The sequence below is a fragment of the Homo sapiens genome, chromosome 14 (genome assembly GCF_000001405.40).
Source record: "Homo sapiens chromosome 14, GRCh38.p14 Primary Assembly".
Lineage (NCBI taxonomy): Eukaryota > Metazoa > Chordata > Mammalia > Primates > Hominidae > Homo > Homo sapiens.
The window spans coordinates 93,592,190-93,609,641 of NC_000014.9; the positions used below are offsets into that span (position 1 = coordinate 93,592,190).

Below are 17,452 nucleotides of genomic sequence, written 5' to 3' on the forward strand. Positions count from 1 at the left end.
TTTGAGACTGAGTCTCGCTCTGTCGCCCAGGCTGGAGTGCAGTGGCTCAATCTCGGTTCACTGCAAGCTCTGCCTCCCGGGTTCACGCCATTCTCCTGCCTCAGCCCCCTGAGTAGGTGGGACTACAGGCGCCCACCACCACGCCCGGCTAATTTTTTGTATTTTTAGTAGAGACGGAGTTTCACTGTGTTAGCCAGGATGGTCTCGATCTCCTGACCTTGTGATCCACCTGCCTCAGCCTCCCAAAGTGCTGGGATTACAGGCGTGAGCCACTGCGCCTGGCCGACATAACTTTTCCTTAAATTTTTTCACTAGTTTTAGGCTACATGGTTCATCTGTGAACTTTTTAAAATTGTTGCAAATCTCCTAAAAAATTCAATATATTTATTGAAAACAATCCATGTATAAGTGGACCTGTACAGTTCAAACCTGTGTTGTTCAAGGGTCAACTGTAGTTTTGATTCTGATATTGACTCTGGAGTCAAATAGAAAACAAAACAAAACAAAACAACAACAAAAACAACCAAAAGGCATACTTTAAATAATTGAAAAAAATGGAAACAATAATGTATTATTACTAAAATATATTATATTCAGAATTATTCCTGTAGAACTTGATAGGAACTTAGCTGAAACTTGCTGAGGTGCAGGATGTTATCAGGGATCTCTTTCTCTGTCTTCTCCTCCTCCCCTTTCTCACTCCCTCCCCATCTCATAGCCCAACTGTGGCTTGGCTTCTTAAATGGAACTAAGTGTTGGCTTCTCCGTTAAGCACAGGCTGTCCCTGTGAGATGGGAAGGAGGGTCATTGGCAGTTGCAGGCTGACATCACCCTTCATTCCTGAGATTTCAGAAGGAGAGAGAGCCTCTTTCTCCCAGAGTGCATAACAGTCCCTGAAATAAGAGTTCTGTTATTCCCATGCTTGGGTCATACGCCTTCTCCTAGCTAATCACTTTATTCAGGTTGTTGACGTTCTTTGATCAGCCTGTTTGTGTTCCCCCTTATGATAGAGAAGGTTGGGGAGCTTGATTGATGACCTGTCTGTTCTTGGAGAGGCTGTTATTAAGAGAAAAAGAGTTGTTCTTTGACATCATAAGAGGCTGGGCAGGCCAAACCAACCAAACTTGCCAGATGCTCACTGTAAGAAAATTTTTAAAAATCACGTATTACTCCATCATCCTAACGTACCTAATTTTGACTTTGTATATTACTGAAGCCATTTATTTATATTGCTGAATTTACATTATGCAGATTTTTAAGTTATAAAATGTAATGTTAAGTAAAAGTGCTTTTCTGCAGTGTCACGTTAAGAGGACAGAGCATAGGAAACGTCTGTCAGAGGATTATCCTCTCGTGGATGAGTGTCATTTCACCAAAAGCACCCCTACCCACCGTCTTGTAACTACTCTTGCCATAAATTAAGAGGACAGGATCTTTTTCTGGAAAAGTTGTGATAACTGTCACCACTTTGCTTCTCCTTGATTCCCTAGCCTGTGGAGGGTCGTCAAATCCGAGTTCTCTCAGCTGTCTTCCCTGGCAGTCCCTCTTCTCCTCCATGCCCTGTCACTTCCTCATGGTGCTGACATCTTCTGGACAATCATAAATGGCAATTTCAACAGCAAAGACTGGAAGATGAGGTTTGAAGCAGGTACCTCTGTGTTAGCTTAAAACTCATTCTGGGTCACACAGTACACGGGTGTCTGGTCACGGCATCTTTTTTGGCACCTCCTTTCTTGTCCCTTCTTTTTAAAAGGCATTCTCCTGCTGGCTGGTGTCCTTTGGGGGTTCTGCTTTGAGCTTCCTCTCTAAAATAACAGCATTTTGCAGAGTGGTCCTTAGGGAGGGTGGTCCTGTCCAGGTTTGCATAGGACAGACCCAGCTTATGCCTGTTACCCAAGTGTAGCGATTAACTGCACCCATGTTTACTCCCAAACAGACACTGGCTTGGATTCAGTCAACCTATGAGTTTACTTGCATCGGTTACTGGGAATGTTTGTTAAAATGCACATTATCTGGCCACATCCTAGAGCTACCGAATCAGAATCTCAGTGGGAGGTGGGGGTGATGCCAGAAATTGAGGTTTTTTGTGTTTTTTTTTGAGACAGAGTCTTGCTGTGTTGTCCAGGCTGAAGTGCAGTGGCATGATCTCGGCTCACTGCAACCTCTGCCTCCTGAGTTCAAGTATTTCTTGTGCCTCAGCCTCCCAAGTAGCTGGGGCTACAGGTGCATGCTACTACACCAGGCTAATTTTTGTATTTTTAGTAGAGACAAGGTTTCAGTATGTTGATCAGGCTGGTCTTGAACTCCTGACCTCAGGTGATCTGCCCACCTTGGCCTCCCAAAGTGTTGGGATTACAGGCATGAGCCACTGTGCTGGGGCAGAAACTGAGATTTTTAATAAGAGGTTCAAGAATCTCTGCTGTATACCCTTGCCACTGAGGGATCAGGGACCAAGTCTGGTGCAGCTTGGGTATAATTTCCTAGTAAATAGAACAGCAGGTTCTCAGAGTAATGTGGTAAGGAAGGAACCTGGGAGGGTTCTCTTAGCCTCATGTCTGCTGGCCCACTCTCACTCCAATCTGCTAGTAGTTCCATTCTCGGGGTAGCAGGCGGGGTCGGCATGCCACAGTGTGGCTTCTCAGAACAGTTCTGTAGGTTTGTGTCTCAAAAGTTTGGCACAGAAATGGAAGTTTCATCAGTGAGGTAACTATTATACCTTTAGTTCAGTTCCTTAATATATGGCCACTTCAAAACGTTCTTGCTTTTTAATGCCCACAGGAATCTCAGGGGCTAGTTAGTATATATATATGACAGCACATCATGTTGTGGAGGGTTAGGATTAATCTTCTGAATCTCGGCTCTGGTTATGTTACTTCTCTTTCTTTCCTTTTTTTTTTTTCTGTTTGTTTGTTTGTTTTGAGATGGAGTCTTGCTCTATTGCACAAGCTGGAGTGCAGTGGAGTGATCTCGGCTCACTGCAACCTCTGCCTCCCGGGTTTAAGCGATTCTGTTGCCTCAGCCTCCTGAGCAGCTGGGACTACGGGCACCTGCCACCACACCCGGCTAATTTTTGTATTTTTACTAGAGATGGGGTTTCGCCATGTTGGCCAGGCTGGTCTTGAACTCCTGACCCCAGATGATCCACCCACCTCGACCTCCTAAAATGCTGAGATTACAGGCATGAGCCACCGTACCCGGCCAAGGTCATGTTACTTTTCTATTCAAGAAATTTTAATGGGGTTTTTTTGAATGCCTAGAGAATAAAGTTCAGACTCCTTAAACTGCCATTCAGATGGTCTGACTGCAACTGCAGGCAGCCTCATTTCCTGCGCTTCTTTCTACACACACCCTTGCTGTGTTCCCATTGCTTCCTGCCTCCCTTCATCCACGCGGGGGCCATTCTGGGCTCTCCACCTTTCATCCTCTTTCCTTTAAGGCCCTACACAAATGCCACCTCCACATGATCCACCTTCAAATGCCGCCATTGAGGTCCACCTTCTAGGTCCCCCCTGTGGAGAGTGGTTTATGTATCCCCGGATCTCCCATAGCATTTTATTTATACCACACTAGAGGCATTTACAGCTTTTTCAAAGTCATATTTCAGCTATAGTTGTACGTGTCTTATCTATTTTAGTCAATTTAACTTTGAGGTCAAGAGTTATGAATGATTCCTCTTTCCATTTACTTCTATCTCCTCCCAAGTGCCTAAGATAGTTTCTTAGTGGTATACATATGTGTGCTTAATATATATATATTTTAAAATAAGCGAATCAGTGAATTTATTGAATAAATTAGATATGTGCTAGGTGCTATGGGAGCAATAGAAAGAAGTGTAAGAGCAGATTGCTGTCCTCAGGAGGCTTCCGGTTTAATTGATGAGATCAAATATAAGCATGTAAGAGGTTGACAAATTATAAAAGGCATAAATATAATCAAGACCACAAAATAAAATATGTCATATAATGAGCACATATTGTGTTCATAGCTCATATTCTGAGCACACAAATGCAATATGTAAATTAATGATATGCAAATGAGTAGTACTTTTACAGGAGTTCATGGGATGGAAAGGCCACTCTAGGAGATCAGAGAAGACTTTACAAAACAGAATTTCAGCAGAGATTCTCTAAGGATGGTAGAATGTCAATAGGAAGAATACTGTAGGCTGGGTGCAGTGGCTCATGCCTGTAATCCCAGCACTTTGGGAGGCCAAAGCAGGCAGATCTCTTGAGGTCAGGAGTTCGAGACCAGCCTGGCCAACATGGTGAAACCCTGTCTCTACTAAAAATACTAAAGTTAGCTGGGCATGGTGGTGCCTGCCTGTAATCCCAGCTACTTGGGAGGCTGAGGCATGAGAATCACTTGAACCCGGGAGATGGAGGTTGCAGTGAGCTGAAATCGTGCCACTGCACTCCAGCCTGGGCAACAGAGTGAGACTCCATCTCAAAAAAACAAAACAAAACCAACAAACAAAAGAATATTCTAGGCTGTTGCAATAGCTTAAGCAAAATACTGAAACGTCTTAATTTGCATTGCACTATATTGCTTTGCTAGCTGTTGTAACTTTTTATAAAGCCATGCTTTAAGTGTGGATGGAATTGTTTAACATTGATTTGCAGAATAATTAGAAATCTATCAAGTAAGCGTATATTTATAGCATGGAAGAAATACCTGGCTTCGATAGCCCCAGGAAATGTCTATTTGGTCTGCCATTTCACACCACGACCTACTAAGAGTAGAGCAGGGGACCAGAACCCAGAGCCAGTACTGGTGGGCACCTCCTACCTCTCTGTTATCTGCAGAGCTTCTATGGAATGGCCACAGAAAGAAGCATAGAGGCATTTGGAATATTTTGAAATATAGCTGAAAGTTAAACAAAGAGAAAGACCATGAAAAAATTGTAAAAGACAACCCAGAGTTAGATCAAGGCTGCGTGGGAAAAAAAAGTTCTGCTCTGAGTAGAAAGAGTCTCTGCTGCACAGATGAAATGGAACACTCGAGATGGTGGTATTAGACTTTCCTGTTGGGATTTAAAGTAAACCATGCGGGAGACCCAGAGTTAACTTTTTGTCTGTGAGTTCAGTTCTCAGACTGGCTAAATAAATGTGTATGCGTGTGCCTGTAGGTGTGTGTGTATTTACGTATTTTGCCTTCTCTTTTACATTGCAGTGGAAAAAGTTGCTGTAATTTGTAGATTTCTGGATATTCACTCAGTAACCAAAAACCACCTGCTGAAGTACTCCCTGGCACATGCCTTCTGCTGCTTCCTGACAGCAGTGGAGGATGTCAACCCCGCAGTGGCTACCAGAGCTGGTCTCCTGCTTGACACCATAAAGAGGCCAGCATTGCAGGTGACATGTGATTTGTGTTATCTGCTCCGAAGGTGGTTTGTGTCAGCACTACTAAATCATTGCGTTGTTTGTCACGTCCTAGTCTGTTTGACCTGCTATAACAGAATACCATAAACTGGGTAGTTTATAAACAACAGAAATTTATTTCGCAGATTGTCTGCCGAGGGCCTGCTGTCTAGTTCATAGATGGGGCCTTTGCTGTGTCTGGGGCCTCTTTCATAAGGGCACTAGTTCCATTCATTAGGGCCCTGCCCTTATGACCTAATCATCTCTCAAAGCCCCACCTCCTAATACTATCATATTGGTGATTTAGTTTCAACAGGAATTTGGGGGTGAGGCCCTTGCACACATTTTCAGACCATAACATCACATATAATATTGACGATGATGATGGAGATTTTTTAACTGGAAGAAATATACCAGAACCACATCTTGCTAAAAGATCCCTTGTTGTTATTTGTTGATGCCACTTTTTTTTTAAGACACAGTCTTACTCTGTTGCCCAGGCTGATCATAACTCTCTGCAGCCTGAAACTCCTGGGCTCAAGTGATCCTCCTTCCTCAGCCTCCTGAATAGCTAGGACAACAGGTATACATCACCACACCCACCTAATTTTTAACTTTTTTTTTTGTAGAGACAGGATCTTGCTATATTGCCCAGGCTCGTCTTGAACTCCTGGCCTCCAGCAATCCTCCCGCTTTGGCCTCCCAGAGTGCTGGGATTATAAGCATGAGCTGTACTGCCTGGCCCATTTGTTGATACTTTCTTTTCAGTCTTTGTTCATATGCTGATATTACTTTGGACAGATGTAATTATTGCATAACGTGTGTGTGTGTGTGTGTGTGTGTGTGTGTGTGTGTGTGTGTGTGGCAGATTTTAAAACTAGGTTGGTTTATCTTACACCACTTAGCTAGCTCCTGGGCTGGAGGCCTCTGTTGTTAGAGCCTTGATGCTAACAGAAATCAGATAAATTATAGTTTTTTGCTTTGTTTTGTTTTGAGATAGAGTCTCATTTTCTTGCCCAGGCTGGAGTGCAGTGGTGTGATCTCGGCTCACTGCAACCTCCGCCTCCCGGGTTCAAGTGATTCTCATGCCTTAGTCTCCCGAATAGCTGGGACTACAGGCTTACGCCGCCACGCCTGGCTAATTTTTGTATTTTTAGTAAAGACAGGGTTTTGCTATGTTGGCCAGGCTGGTCTCGAACCCCTGGCTTCAAGTGATTCGCCTGCCTCGGCCTCCCAAAGTGCTGGGATTAGAGGCCTGAGCCACCACTGCGCCTGGCCTGAATTATAGTTTTAATCAAAGTAAAACATGAGAAGGTAAATATGCTACCATAACAAAACTTCACAAATTAAAGCCAAAGAGACAAGAAATATGAGACCTGGAGAGAGTGGTATATTTATCTTGTTTGGAACCTTTATTTTTTAGTGGAGACACCAAGTCTCAGAGAGATAATGTGACTTATCAAAGGACACAAAGTGATTTAATGAGAAAATCAAGATTAGAGCCTCCAAAGTTCTGATCTACTGTTTCTCCATGTTGCATCTGATTTATTATTTTGTTGTTATTATTCAACTAATGATAGCAAGAGCTGACATTCCTCAGATAGCTACTGTGTTTCCAGGGCAGTGTGTTAAAAGTGTCCTGTTATGCATTATCTTATTTAATCCTCACAGTTACCTTTTGTGTGTTCTCATTTTATGGATAGAGATGCTGAGAGTTAGAAAGGTTAAGCCACCTTTTCAGAGTCACATAGCTAGTTATCTGCAGAGGAAATTCAGCACTGATTTATAATACAGTCCACATACTTAAGTGTGTGTGTGTGTGTGTGTGTGTGTGTGTGTATGTGTGCATACACTGTCTCCCAATCCAGTGTAAACTTCTTCCTGCATTTTAAGACCAAGAAGCAAGGGCAAGCTTGCACGACCTGAAAGACTGAAGGGTTATGCTGCCTGTGGCACATTCTTTTTTTTGTAAAATCTCCAGTTGACTTCTGAATAGTTCTTCTCTGTTGATCTTACCAGGTACTTCTATGTCCTACCCCTGCTTAGGGCCTGGAACATAGGAGGCACTCATTAGATGACAGCTGAATTAATGAATGGGATGTTTGGATGAATTGCAATTTTTAAATCTCATTCTGTTAAAAAGAGGGGGAATGGTAAACTCAGACACTAGAGGAACAGGTTCTCAATCCATTCCAACTTTGATTAACATTCTATGTTCCACTCACATTCCAAGAAAACCAGGTGACTTTGCTTTTTTCGGAATCATGAAATTTTGGATTGAAAGTAGATTTCTAGACCATCTTTCTGTGTATTCTAAAATGTAACTTTGAAAGTACGCTTCTCTTAATGACTACAGGCATTAAAACCAGATGCAGCTGGGCGTGGTGGCTCGCGCCTGTAATCCCAGCACTTTGGGAGGCCAAGGAGGGCAGATCACGAGGTCAGGAGATCGAGACCATCCGGCTAACACAGTGAAACCTCGTCTCTACTAAAAATACAAAAAATTAGCCGGGCGTGGTGGCGGGCGCCTGTAGTCCCAGCTACTTGGGAGGCTGAGGCAGGAGAATTGCTTGAACCCGGGAGGCGGAGGTTGCAGTGAGCTGAGATCCCATCACTGCACTCCAGCCTGGGCGACAGAGTGAGACTTCATCTCAAAAAACAAACAAAGAAACAAACAAACAACAACAACAACAAAAAACCCAGATGCATTGACTTGAGGGTATTTGGATTAAGTGGTTATTATTTAACACATTAGAAAACCAATAGCATGCATTTAGTTCAGATTTCTGAATCAAAATTCAAGAGATATTCTACAAGGAAGATAAATTCCTCTTCTACATTTTTCTTTCCTACCAAAACTTCGAATCAAAAAAGATTCCAGTGGGATCATTCTACATTATAAGTTTGAATTGAGTAGGCTGCCTTGTTTCATTGACTTTGCCTAGTATATCGGCTTTGAAGTAACTTAGATGTTTATATCTGACTTTCTTCTTTTCTTTTTTTTTTTCCTCCTCTTTCCCAGGGTCTATGTCTTTGTCTTGACTTCCAGTTTGATACTGTGGTTAAAGACAGACCCACAATTTTGAGCAAGCTTTTACTCTTGCACTTTCTTAAGCAGGATATTCCTGCTCTGAGCTGGGAGTTCTTTGTCAATAGATTTGAGACGCTTTCTTTGGAAGCCCAGCTACATTTGGATTGTAACAAGGAATTTCCTTTTCCTACAAGTAAGTAAAATGAAGAACTTGCTGTAAACCGTTGCAGTTCCCATTGTGCTTGCCTAGACAAACAGAAGACATTGGCATGTCGTTTAATTCCTCTACAGAGGATGCCTTGACCTCATGCACTCAATTCATTAAATGATTATTGAATAGCTGCTGTAGTAATCCATAGATTTAAGCATATCCTGGCATTCCAAAATCAGAATTCTTTTCATTTCCTTGACCTATGATAACCATTTATGACTGTGTGTTCCCTAAATATGATTCAGTCATTATGTTTATAACATTTGTGAGCAATTTTAGGAAGCATATTTGCACCTTGCAAACTCACTCTTGCATACTTTCTAAATTTCAATAGTTTTGGGGACATAGGTGGGTTTTGGTTACATGGATAAGTTCTTTAGTGGTAATTTCTGAGATTTTGGTGCACCCGTCACCTGAGCATTGTACATTGTACCCAATGTGTAGTCTTTTATCCCTCACCCCCCTTCCACCCTTCCCCCCAAAGTCCCCAAATTCCGTTCTGTCATTCTTATGTCTTTGCATCCTCATAGCTTAGCTCCCACTTACAAGTGAGAACATACGATATTTGGTTTTCCACTTCTGCATTACTTCACTTAAAATAATGTTCTCCAACTCCATCCAGATTGCTGTGAATGCCATTATTTCATTCTTTTAAATGGCCAAGTAGTATTCCATGGTACATATGTATACCACATTTCCTTTATCCACTTGTTGATTAATGGTCATTTAGGCTGGTTCCATATTTTTGCAATTGTGAATTGTGCTGCTATAAACATGCATGTGCAAATGTCTTTTCCTATAATGACTTCCTTCCTTCTGGGTAGAGACCCAGTAGTGGGATTGCTGGATCAAATGGTAGTTCCACTTTTAGTTCTTTAAGGAATCTCCATACTGTTTTCCAAAGTGATTGTACCAATTTACACTCCTACCAACAGTGTAAAAGTGTTCCCTTTTTACCACATCCCCACCAATATCTGTTATTTTTGGATTTTTAAATTACGGCATTCTTGCAGGAGTAAGGTGGTATCTCATTGTGGTTTTAATTTGCATTTCCCTGATAATTAGTGATGTTGAGCATTTTTTCATATGTTTGTTGGCCGTTTGTATATCTTCTTTTGAGAATTTTCTATTCATGTCCTTTGCCTACTTTTTGATGGGATTATTATTATTATTTTGCTGATTTGTTTGAGTTCCTTATAGATTCTGGATATTGGTCCTCTGTCAGATGCATAGTTTGCAAATATTTTTCCCCATTCAGTGGGTTGTCTGTTTACTCTGCGGATTATTTTGTTTGCTGTGCAGAAACTTTTTAGTTTAATTAGGCTCCATCTGTTTATTTTTGTTTTTGTTGCATTTGCTTTTGAGTACTTGGTCATGAACTCTTTGCCTAAGTCAATGTCTAGAAGAGTTTTTCTGATGTTGTCTTCTAGAATTTTTACGGTTTCAGATCTTAGATTTAGCCTTTGATCCATCTTGAGTTGATTTTTGTATAAGGTGAGATACGAGTATCCAGTTTCATTCTTCTAGATGTGGCTTGCCAATTATCCCAGCACCATTTATTGAATACAGTGTCCTCTCCCCACTTTATGTTTTTATTTGCTTTGTTGAAGATCAGTTGGCTGTAAGTATTTAGCTTTGTTTTTGGGTTCTCTATTCCGTTCCATTGGTCTACAAGCCTATTTTAATACAAGTACCATGCTGTTTTGGTAACTATAGCCTTGTAGTATAGTTTAAACTCCAGGAATGCGATGCCTCCAGATGCATTCTTTTTGCTTAGTCTTGCTTTGGCTATGTGGGCTCTTTTTTTGGTTCCGTAGGAATTTTAGAGTTGGTTTTCTAGCTCTGTGAAGAATGATGATGGTACTTTGATGGGAATTGCATTGAATCTGCTGCCCAGGCTGATGTGTAGTGGTGTCATCATAGCTCACTGCAACCTCCAACTCTTGGGCTCAAGCAGTCCTCCCAGCTAATCTTCCTGAGTAGCTAGGACTATGGGGGTGAGCCACCATACCTGGCTAATTTTTCCTTTTTTGTAGAGATGGGGGTCTTGCTATATTGCCCAGGCTGGTCTCAAACTCCTGGCCTCAAGGGATCCTCCCACCATGGCCTCCCAAAGTGCTAGGATTACAGGCATGAGCCACCACACCTGGCCTCTTGCTTAGTTATTAATCAGTTACCTACAGCTCTGAATAGGTGGAGAAAAGACTTTTGTCACTCAACTATCCAATGATAACAAAATTAGATAATTTAATCTTGTGGTCTAAGCAGAAAAAAAATCATGATAGGCAATAGTTATTTTTGTATGTAGGACTCATCATAGAGGGAGATGTATATCCATGAAAAATGTATTTTAATATTGAAACTCTACACAGATGGATTGTTTTAGACTAGGTGGATTACAAAGCCCTGTGTAAAGGAGAGTGATAGTCTCTTTAATTCCTTTTGCAAAGCCATCACTGCTGTGAGGACCAATGTTGCTAACCTCAGCGATGCAGCCTTATGGAAGATCAAGAGAGCTCGCTTTGCAAGAAACCGCCAGAAGAGTGTACGTTCCCTGAGGGACAGCGTGAAAGGGCCTGTGGAATCCAAGAGGGCGCTCTCCCTCCCTGAGACCCTGACCTCCAAAATTCGTTGAGTATCTTCTTTCATCCTTCCGTTAAATCTGTTTAATGTCTTTCTGAGGCTGACTTGTCTTGTTGAATGTTCACAGAGAGTATAGCATGTTTAGCAAACTGAGTTTGTTCAATAAGTTTGGCTTTCAGATTCCCTAGAGAATCACTTCAGGGGTATAAATGCCTAGGGTTGCTTTTCCTAGTTTGCTGGGGTAGCAAAGCCCTGATCCAACAGTAGATGTTTTTGAAATGTAAAAGGCAGCAAATGCATTGATGCTTGGCATGCAACTTAGAAGAAACATTTGCTCCTAAGTCCTAGGACACCAAAGTTTGCACCACCAGCCTTGTATCCTAAGAGCTTTCTGAATAAGACTTAGACAATAAGACCTATCATGGCTAAGGAGGGACAGTTGAAATTTGGAATGTATTTTTTTTTTCATGTCTGATAGAAGCAGCCACACAAGCCCCCTAAGACAAACCAATAATAATGATTGCTTTTGAAATAGAGAAATCGGGCTGAGAAATTGAATTTCTGCTCATCTTCACCAGATAATTTATAAATAAAAATAAGCTTCATTGCCAATATTTTAAAAAAGACCATATATACTTGCTCTATAAAAGGTCTTTCTTTATATTATAGTTTTAAAGAGAATAAAATTTTCCTTAAATTACCAAATGACTAGATAAACTCTAATGATTAGTAATGACTCATGAAGGACAAATAATTAAAAATTCATTACTAAATCACCATACTAATGAATATGTTTAAATATATTACTAACTTGTAAAATTTATTAAATGATTTAATCTTCAAATAATCACTGTGAAGTAAATAAAATAATGACCCAAAACCTATTTCTTATCCTGTCAGAAGTTGAAAGGTCTGTTTTTCATTGGCATTTATTAGAATACAGCCTTATATAACATAACCATTTATAATCATAAATATGATTTGATTTTATTCATTACATTTTCTCTATTTTATGACAAGCTATGGAAATGTGTTCTTTTAAACTTTGAGAGAGTTAAGTATGAATGAAAGTTCTTTAAGTAATCAATAACACAGTTTTTCAGGGAGCAAAGATAATCACAGGTGATCATTTAAGAATAGCCAGTGGTAGTGCTAGGCCCCAGGTGAAACTGTTTAAATCCTAGAAACCAATACCTAGATTAAATAAATAACAAATTTTATATGAGTTTCCCAGCTCTATTTATATCCTAACTGATAAGTTTAGAATATAAAGTATATTTATTGTTATTTCTTGTTCATTAATTCACATGACAATTTTGAAGATGAAGTAACATTGAAGGATGTTCTTATGATTCAGATAAAAACTGCAAAACGTTTGTTACATAAACAACTTTTATGTGATGTTAATTCAAATAGAAAAATGAAACCTGCCCCTACTATCCCATAAAGTTAGCACTGAGTATATTTTCTAGGCTCCAGTTGTCTGTAATGCTTATTTAAATAGAGTTGTTGTTGATTTTTAAGCTATGAGGTTGACCAGGCATGAGCAGTCTGCTCCAGCTCTCGGTGGGACACCCGAACAGACGCCAGGTGGGTACTTCTGACATTGAAGGGCCATGTACAAGTGTCTATCACAGGTGGACAAGGTAGAGAATGCGGTGTCTCTAACTGGACCAGGGTGATATACCTAGGATTTGCAAGCTCAGAAGGGTCTTACCCCAGATGTTCAAGTGTTTGAACCCCTGATATGGCAATTCTTTCCATTTTGATATTAACAGATGACTTTTGATTCTATTAACTTTTGGTCCAGTAAGAAGCATCATATCACCTGAGTCTGTACCTTTCCCCAGAGAGCCAGTATGACTAGAGCTATCCATAGTATTTATATTTGTATGTGTCTTTACACATAGAAATATTTTGTTCATACATATCTGCTATAGGAAAACCATACATTTCATTTACATTTTAAAAGGTTATACATTTGAACCACTGTCATCCGCTCATCCCCTTAGCCATTCCTGATTCTTTGCAACTGTACATGCATTTCTGTTTCTCAGAGAAAGGAGAATTTCCTCTGTTTGGAGGACCATAGCATGATACAGTTTAATGATCATTTGATGTTCTGTGATATATTACAATTTATCATGAAGTAGCCTAAGAGGGCATTGGCAAGGAGATTCCACATGAATGGTGCCGTGACTCACTGGGAAGATTGTGAAGGTTCCGAATACCTGCTTATTAGTCAAAAACAAATTTGGTAACTCCCACCTATGTATCATGCTATAGAACATTTGAGTTTTCATCTAAGACTACTAGTTTTAAGGTAAATGTTTCAGAATGGTACAGACATTCTCAGAAGGAAAATTTCAAGTAAGGAGACTTTAAAGATCATTGTGTTTTATAAAAAGGACGTTTGAAAGAGAGGGAGTCCGAAGTGGGAGGGGAGAGAGAAAATCCCAGAGATCAACCAGGCAGACAGCAGATGGTGGCCAAAGTCTTTTCTCTTTTAAAATTGATGAGAAAAAAGGAATAGCAAACATTTGGTAGAGCCCCTCTACCTTGCCTTACACATCGCTCATGTACGCTACTGTGCTGTGATTTTTTTTAAAAGAATAAAAATAAGAACTTCTGATTCAAAGCTTCATTAGAAATATGAAATCCATGCAGTTCCCCTTCAGTGAGGCATTTTTGAGATTGTTCTTAGTCAGTTTCATAAATTATCTTTATTTTACTCTAGCTTGTCTCTTTGTCTTAAAGCTTAGCTGAGAAGCTAGTCTTTCATGATAATTATCCATTTTAACAATCCAACCCAAGAAGTCCCCTCACATTTCTGTGGGAAAACATGTACATGTGTTTCTTGCAGTTAAAAAAAGCCTTCAGGCATCTAATTATTCCACCAAAAGTGGCCAGATGGAAAAGAGGCAGATAACAGCATTGTTTAAATTAAATATGAAGCTAAAGCTTCAGGAAAGGTAATTTACATGACACCATCATAAGCAAAACTTGCTTAGATATGGAAATAGCTGGCTCAGTTTATAAGGCAATTTCAAACTACTGTAGGGTTCCATTTTTGCATTATTATTTACTGGACCCTGACTGTTTCTAACTTGGAAGCAAGGACATGCCAGATTTATCGTAAGATTGTGGAGAATGGTTTAAGACAGTAATTAAATGGAAACTGAAGAACTTGCTACTTAACGAACATACTTTTTTTGGTCCAAGTAATGAGCTCCTCTTTGCGGACCTCTTATTGATTAGACTTGAAATAAAGCAGATTCCCCTTTATACAACAAGATTTAAATTTAATTGCTGTTTAGGTTGAACTTTTTGGCAGTGGATTTACAATTTATGACTCTCTGATCTTAACCTTTACATAATACCCACAGAAAATGGAATAGAAAATTCTGTTTTCTATAGAAAGTATACTCTGCAAGGTTTGCAGAGAGTCACATTTCTCTATGACTTTTCAAATCAAAGGCTTTGTGCATCTAAATAAAATTCATAGAATCTTATAGCTGAAACATTAGTGATGTGTTAACAATCTCATTTTATAGAGGAAGAAACTGATTCTCACAAAAGAACAAGCTTGTTGGTGACTGTTCTGGGTCTCAAGCCCAGAGGTCCTGAGCTCTGTAACAAGGCAAGTAACTGCCCGTAGGAATTCAGCACCTTCATTTCATCCTAATTGATGGGATACACAATCTTTTTAACTGCTACTACAATTTGTATGATTAGACGTAAGGAGTACTTTCACTGGTGCTGTAAGAACCAGGAAATTTTGTCTTCATATATTTAGAATACTGATGAAGATTAATTGAATAGAATGCAGCAGTTATTATGTTATATAAGCACAATACTGAACTAATGGTATCAATCCCATGTGAACATAGGGTGCTTAATTATATCATGTTCCTCATCGCCTGGAACGCATAATTAAACAATAATAGGTATGTAATAATGATAATCCTTCCTGTATATATAGTATCTCTTTACTTACAGGAAAACTAATGTAGTGAGGGATTAAGTGATTCTGCTTTGGTGATTGCTTAAGGTCACATATGACTAACTAGTTAGGATCAGAACTGATGCTGGCATCCAAGGGATTTGGCTTTCTTTCTTTCTACCACAACTACCTCTTGATGAACTGGTCTTAGGGTATTTCTGCCCTGTGGGACGTGAGGACACCAGTCTGGTTATGGAGTTGGCCTGGGCTTTCAGGCCTGCTACAGAGTGGCTTAAGGCCATGAGTGTCCAGACCAAAAGACTTTGCCAGTTAGGACCCCAGATTGGTCCAGAGCTATCCCCATCTCTCGTGGGACTCGCGTACTCCAAGTTCTGCCTCAGCCTGCAGAGAAACCTGGAGATCTCTTGGCCTGCATTTGTATCCATAAGAGAAGGTGCCCAGTACTAGTTAGGATCAATAAAGCACTCTTGCATTGACCTTTCCTGTCTCCTTAGTGTCCCAGCCTAGAATTCCAAATAGCTTTTCTTTGGGCTCTTTCTTTCTACAGATGGTTTATGATTCACTTCTTCACTAACTTGCAAAATGCCTATTGACCATTAAGATCCAGTAAGTCAGAGTACAGTTGTTTTTATAGGAATACTCTTGTTTGAAGATATGTTTTTTGGAAGTGACAATTTTTGTTCAACAAATATTACAAATACTTTTTTTGAGATGGGGTCTTGCTATGTGGCTCAGGCTGGTCTTGAGCTTCTGGGCTCAAGGGATCCTCTCACCTCAGCCTCCCGAGTAGCTTGGATCAGAGGTGTGTGCCACAAATGCTTGTTCAACAAATATTTATTTTTCACCTGCTGGACTAGGAAATACGAAGAATACAAAGATGCTTTGGAAATTTTTATACTCTTAACTTGCTTACGGCCAAGTAAGGGATATTAAGTATGAACATCAGTAAACTCTCATCTTGAGTGAAAGTGACAGTACGTAGGATGAGTCATGTCAAATGCAAAGGGAGGGGAGCTTTCTACCAGCTGGAGACATCAGGGAAGGTCTCATGGACAGGTGGCTTTTCAGCCAGGCTTGATTGGTGGATGAGACATAAACACATGATAATAGGATGTGGAATAGGAAGGAGAAAAGGCAGGGATGGGGATCATAGGAGGATATGAAGTTAGCCACTGCCCCAGCTTTCCAGCCCTGCTGTGGATATGTGCACACACAAGGGAAAACTGAGGTAAGGAAGCAGGGAGATGAGCGAGGCAGTGTAGTGAGAGCTGCCTGTGGAATGGAACCTCATTTATAGTGCTTACTCATTGGCTGCCCTGGACCAAGTGCAGAGTAAGCTCATGGAGGGATCCTTTCTTCCTCTACCTAATTGTCACTTGTTGGTTTGGCAGAGGGGTCAGTGAGTCAGTTCACATAGAGAAACGTTCCAATATTCCTGCTGCTTTGGGACTTTATCAATTTTTCTCTTATACAGAATGTAAGCTCTGACATATTTATTTGAGTTTAGTGCACTTTGACAGACATTTATGTATAATAAGTATCTACTATATGTCAGACATTGGCCCCTATTCTGTGAGGGATATAAAGATGGATAAAATATGTCATTTGCCTTCAAGAAGCCTATGTTCTTATTGGAGTATTAAGGCAAATGAATACACAAAATGTTCTGCCTTGCATAATTGTCATTGGCCACATGGGAGTTAGGAAAATGCTGAAGGAAATTTTCCTCCATTCTTTTTTTCTCTCCTGTCCTCCCTCCTTTCTTGTCCTTAGAAATTTAAAGAATTTAGGGATCACATCCAATTGCTGAGAGGAATATTGGGTATATCTAATAAGAATGGCTTTTGGGGACCAGTTTATAGCACAAAATTGTTGGGGGAGGGTAGAGAACCACCTTGCAAGGTGAAGAGAGCACCATGAGCAAAGGTGCAAAGAGGGAAAAACGGCTCCATTCTGAGATCCACGAGTAGCCCAGCTTGTAAGAACGTTGACCATTTCGGGTGAAATAATAGGAGATAAGTCTGGAAAAGCAGATCCTGATCCTGCCTGGTTTCAAATCATCTGAATAAATAATGCTGTATTACACTTTGGAGTTTCAATCAGTTACACAGCTCTGTGGGCAGATTGTCATGGAATCAGTCCACATTAAAGGTATGGTAGGAATAGCTCTGCCTCCATAATTATAATTATAAATATATTTTCTCTTTATAGAAAATATAACGTCAGACCCTTTAACATGTTAAATCTCTATGGTTAGGACAGATATAGGAATTTCACAGACTAGAATTCAATACTATTAAGTGTTT

General features: G+C 40.3%; 1 protein-coding gene across 33 annotated transcripts in view; it reads left to right on the forward strand.

Annotated features, from left to right (window-relative positions):
• The window catches only part of UNC79 (unc-79 subunit of NALCN channel complex), a 374,695-nt gene that overhangs the window by 259,008 nt on the left and 98,235 nt on the right, over positions 1-17,452 (forward strand). For 23 of the 33 annotated variants that reach the window (XM_011537027.3, XM_011537026.3, NM_001395159.1 and 20 more), the window contains 5 exons: positions 1,491-1,648; positions 5,170-5,351; positions 8,380-8,581; positions 11,050-11,229; positions 12,707-12,772. In XM_011537027.3, coding sequence (XP_011535329.1) covers positions 1,491-1,648; positions 5,170-5,351; positions 8,380-8,581; positions 11,050-11,229; positions 12,707-12,772 — 788 coding nt within the window. The remainder of the gene's footprint in view (positions 1-1,490; positions 1,649-5,169; positions 5,352-8,379; positions 8,582-11,049; positions 11,230-12,706; positions 12,773-17,452) is intronic. The other 10 variants (NM_020818.5, NM_001346218.2, XM_011537020.3 and 7 more) reach the window with 1 other exon arrangement.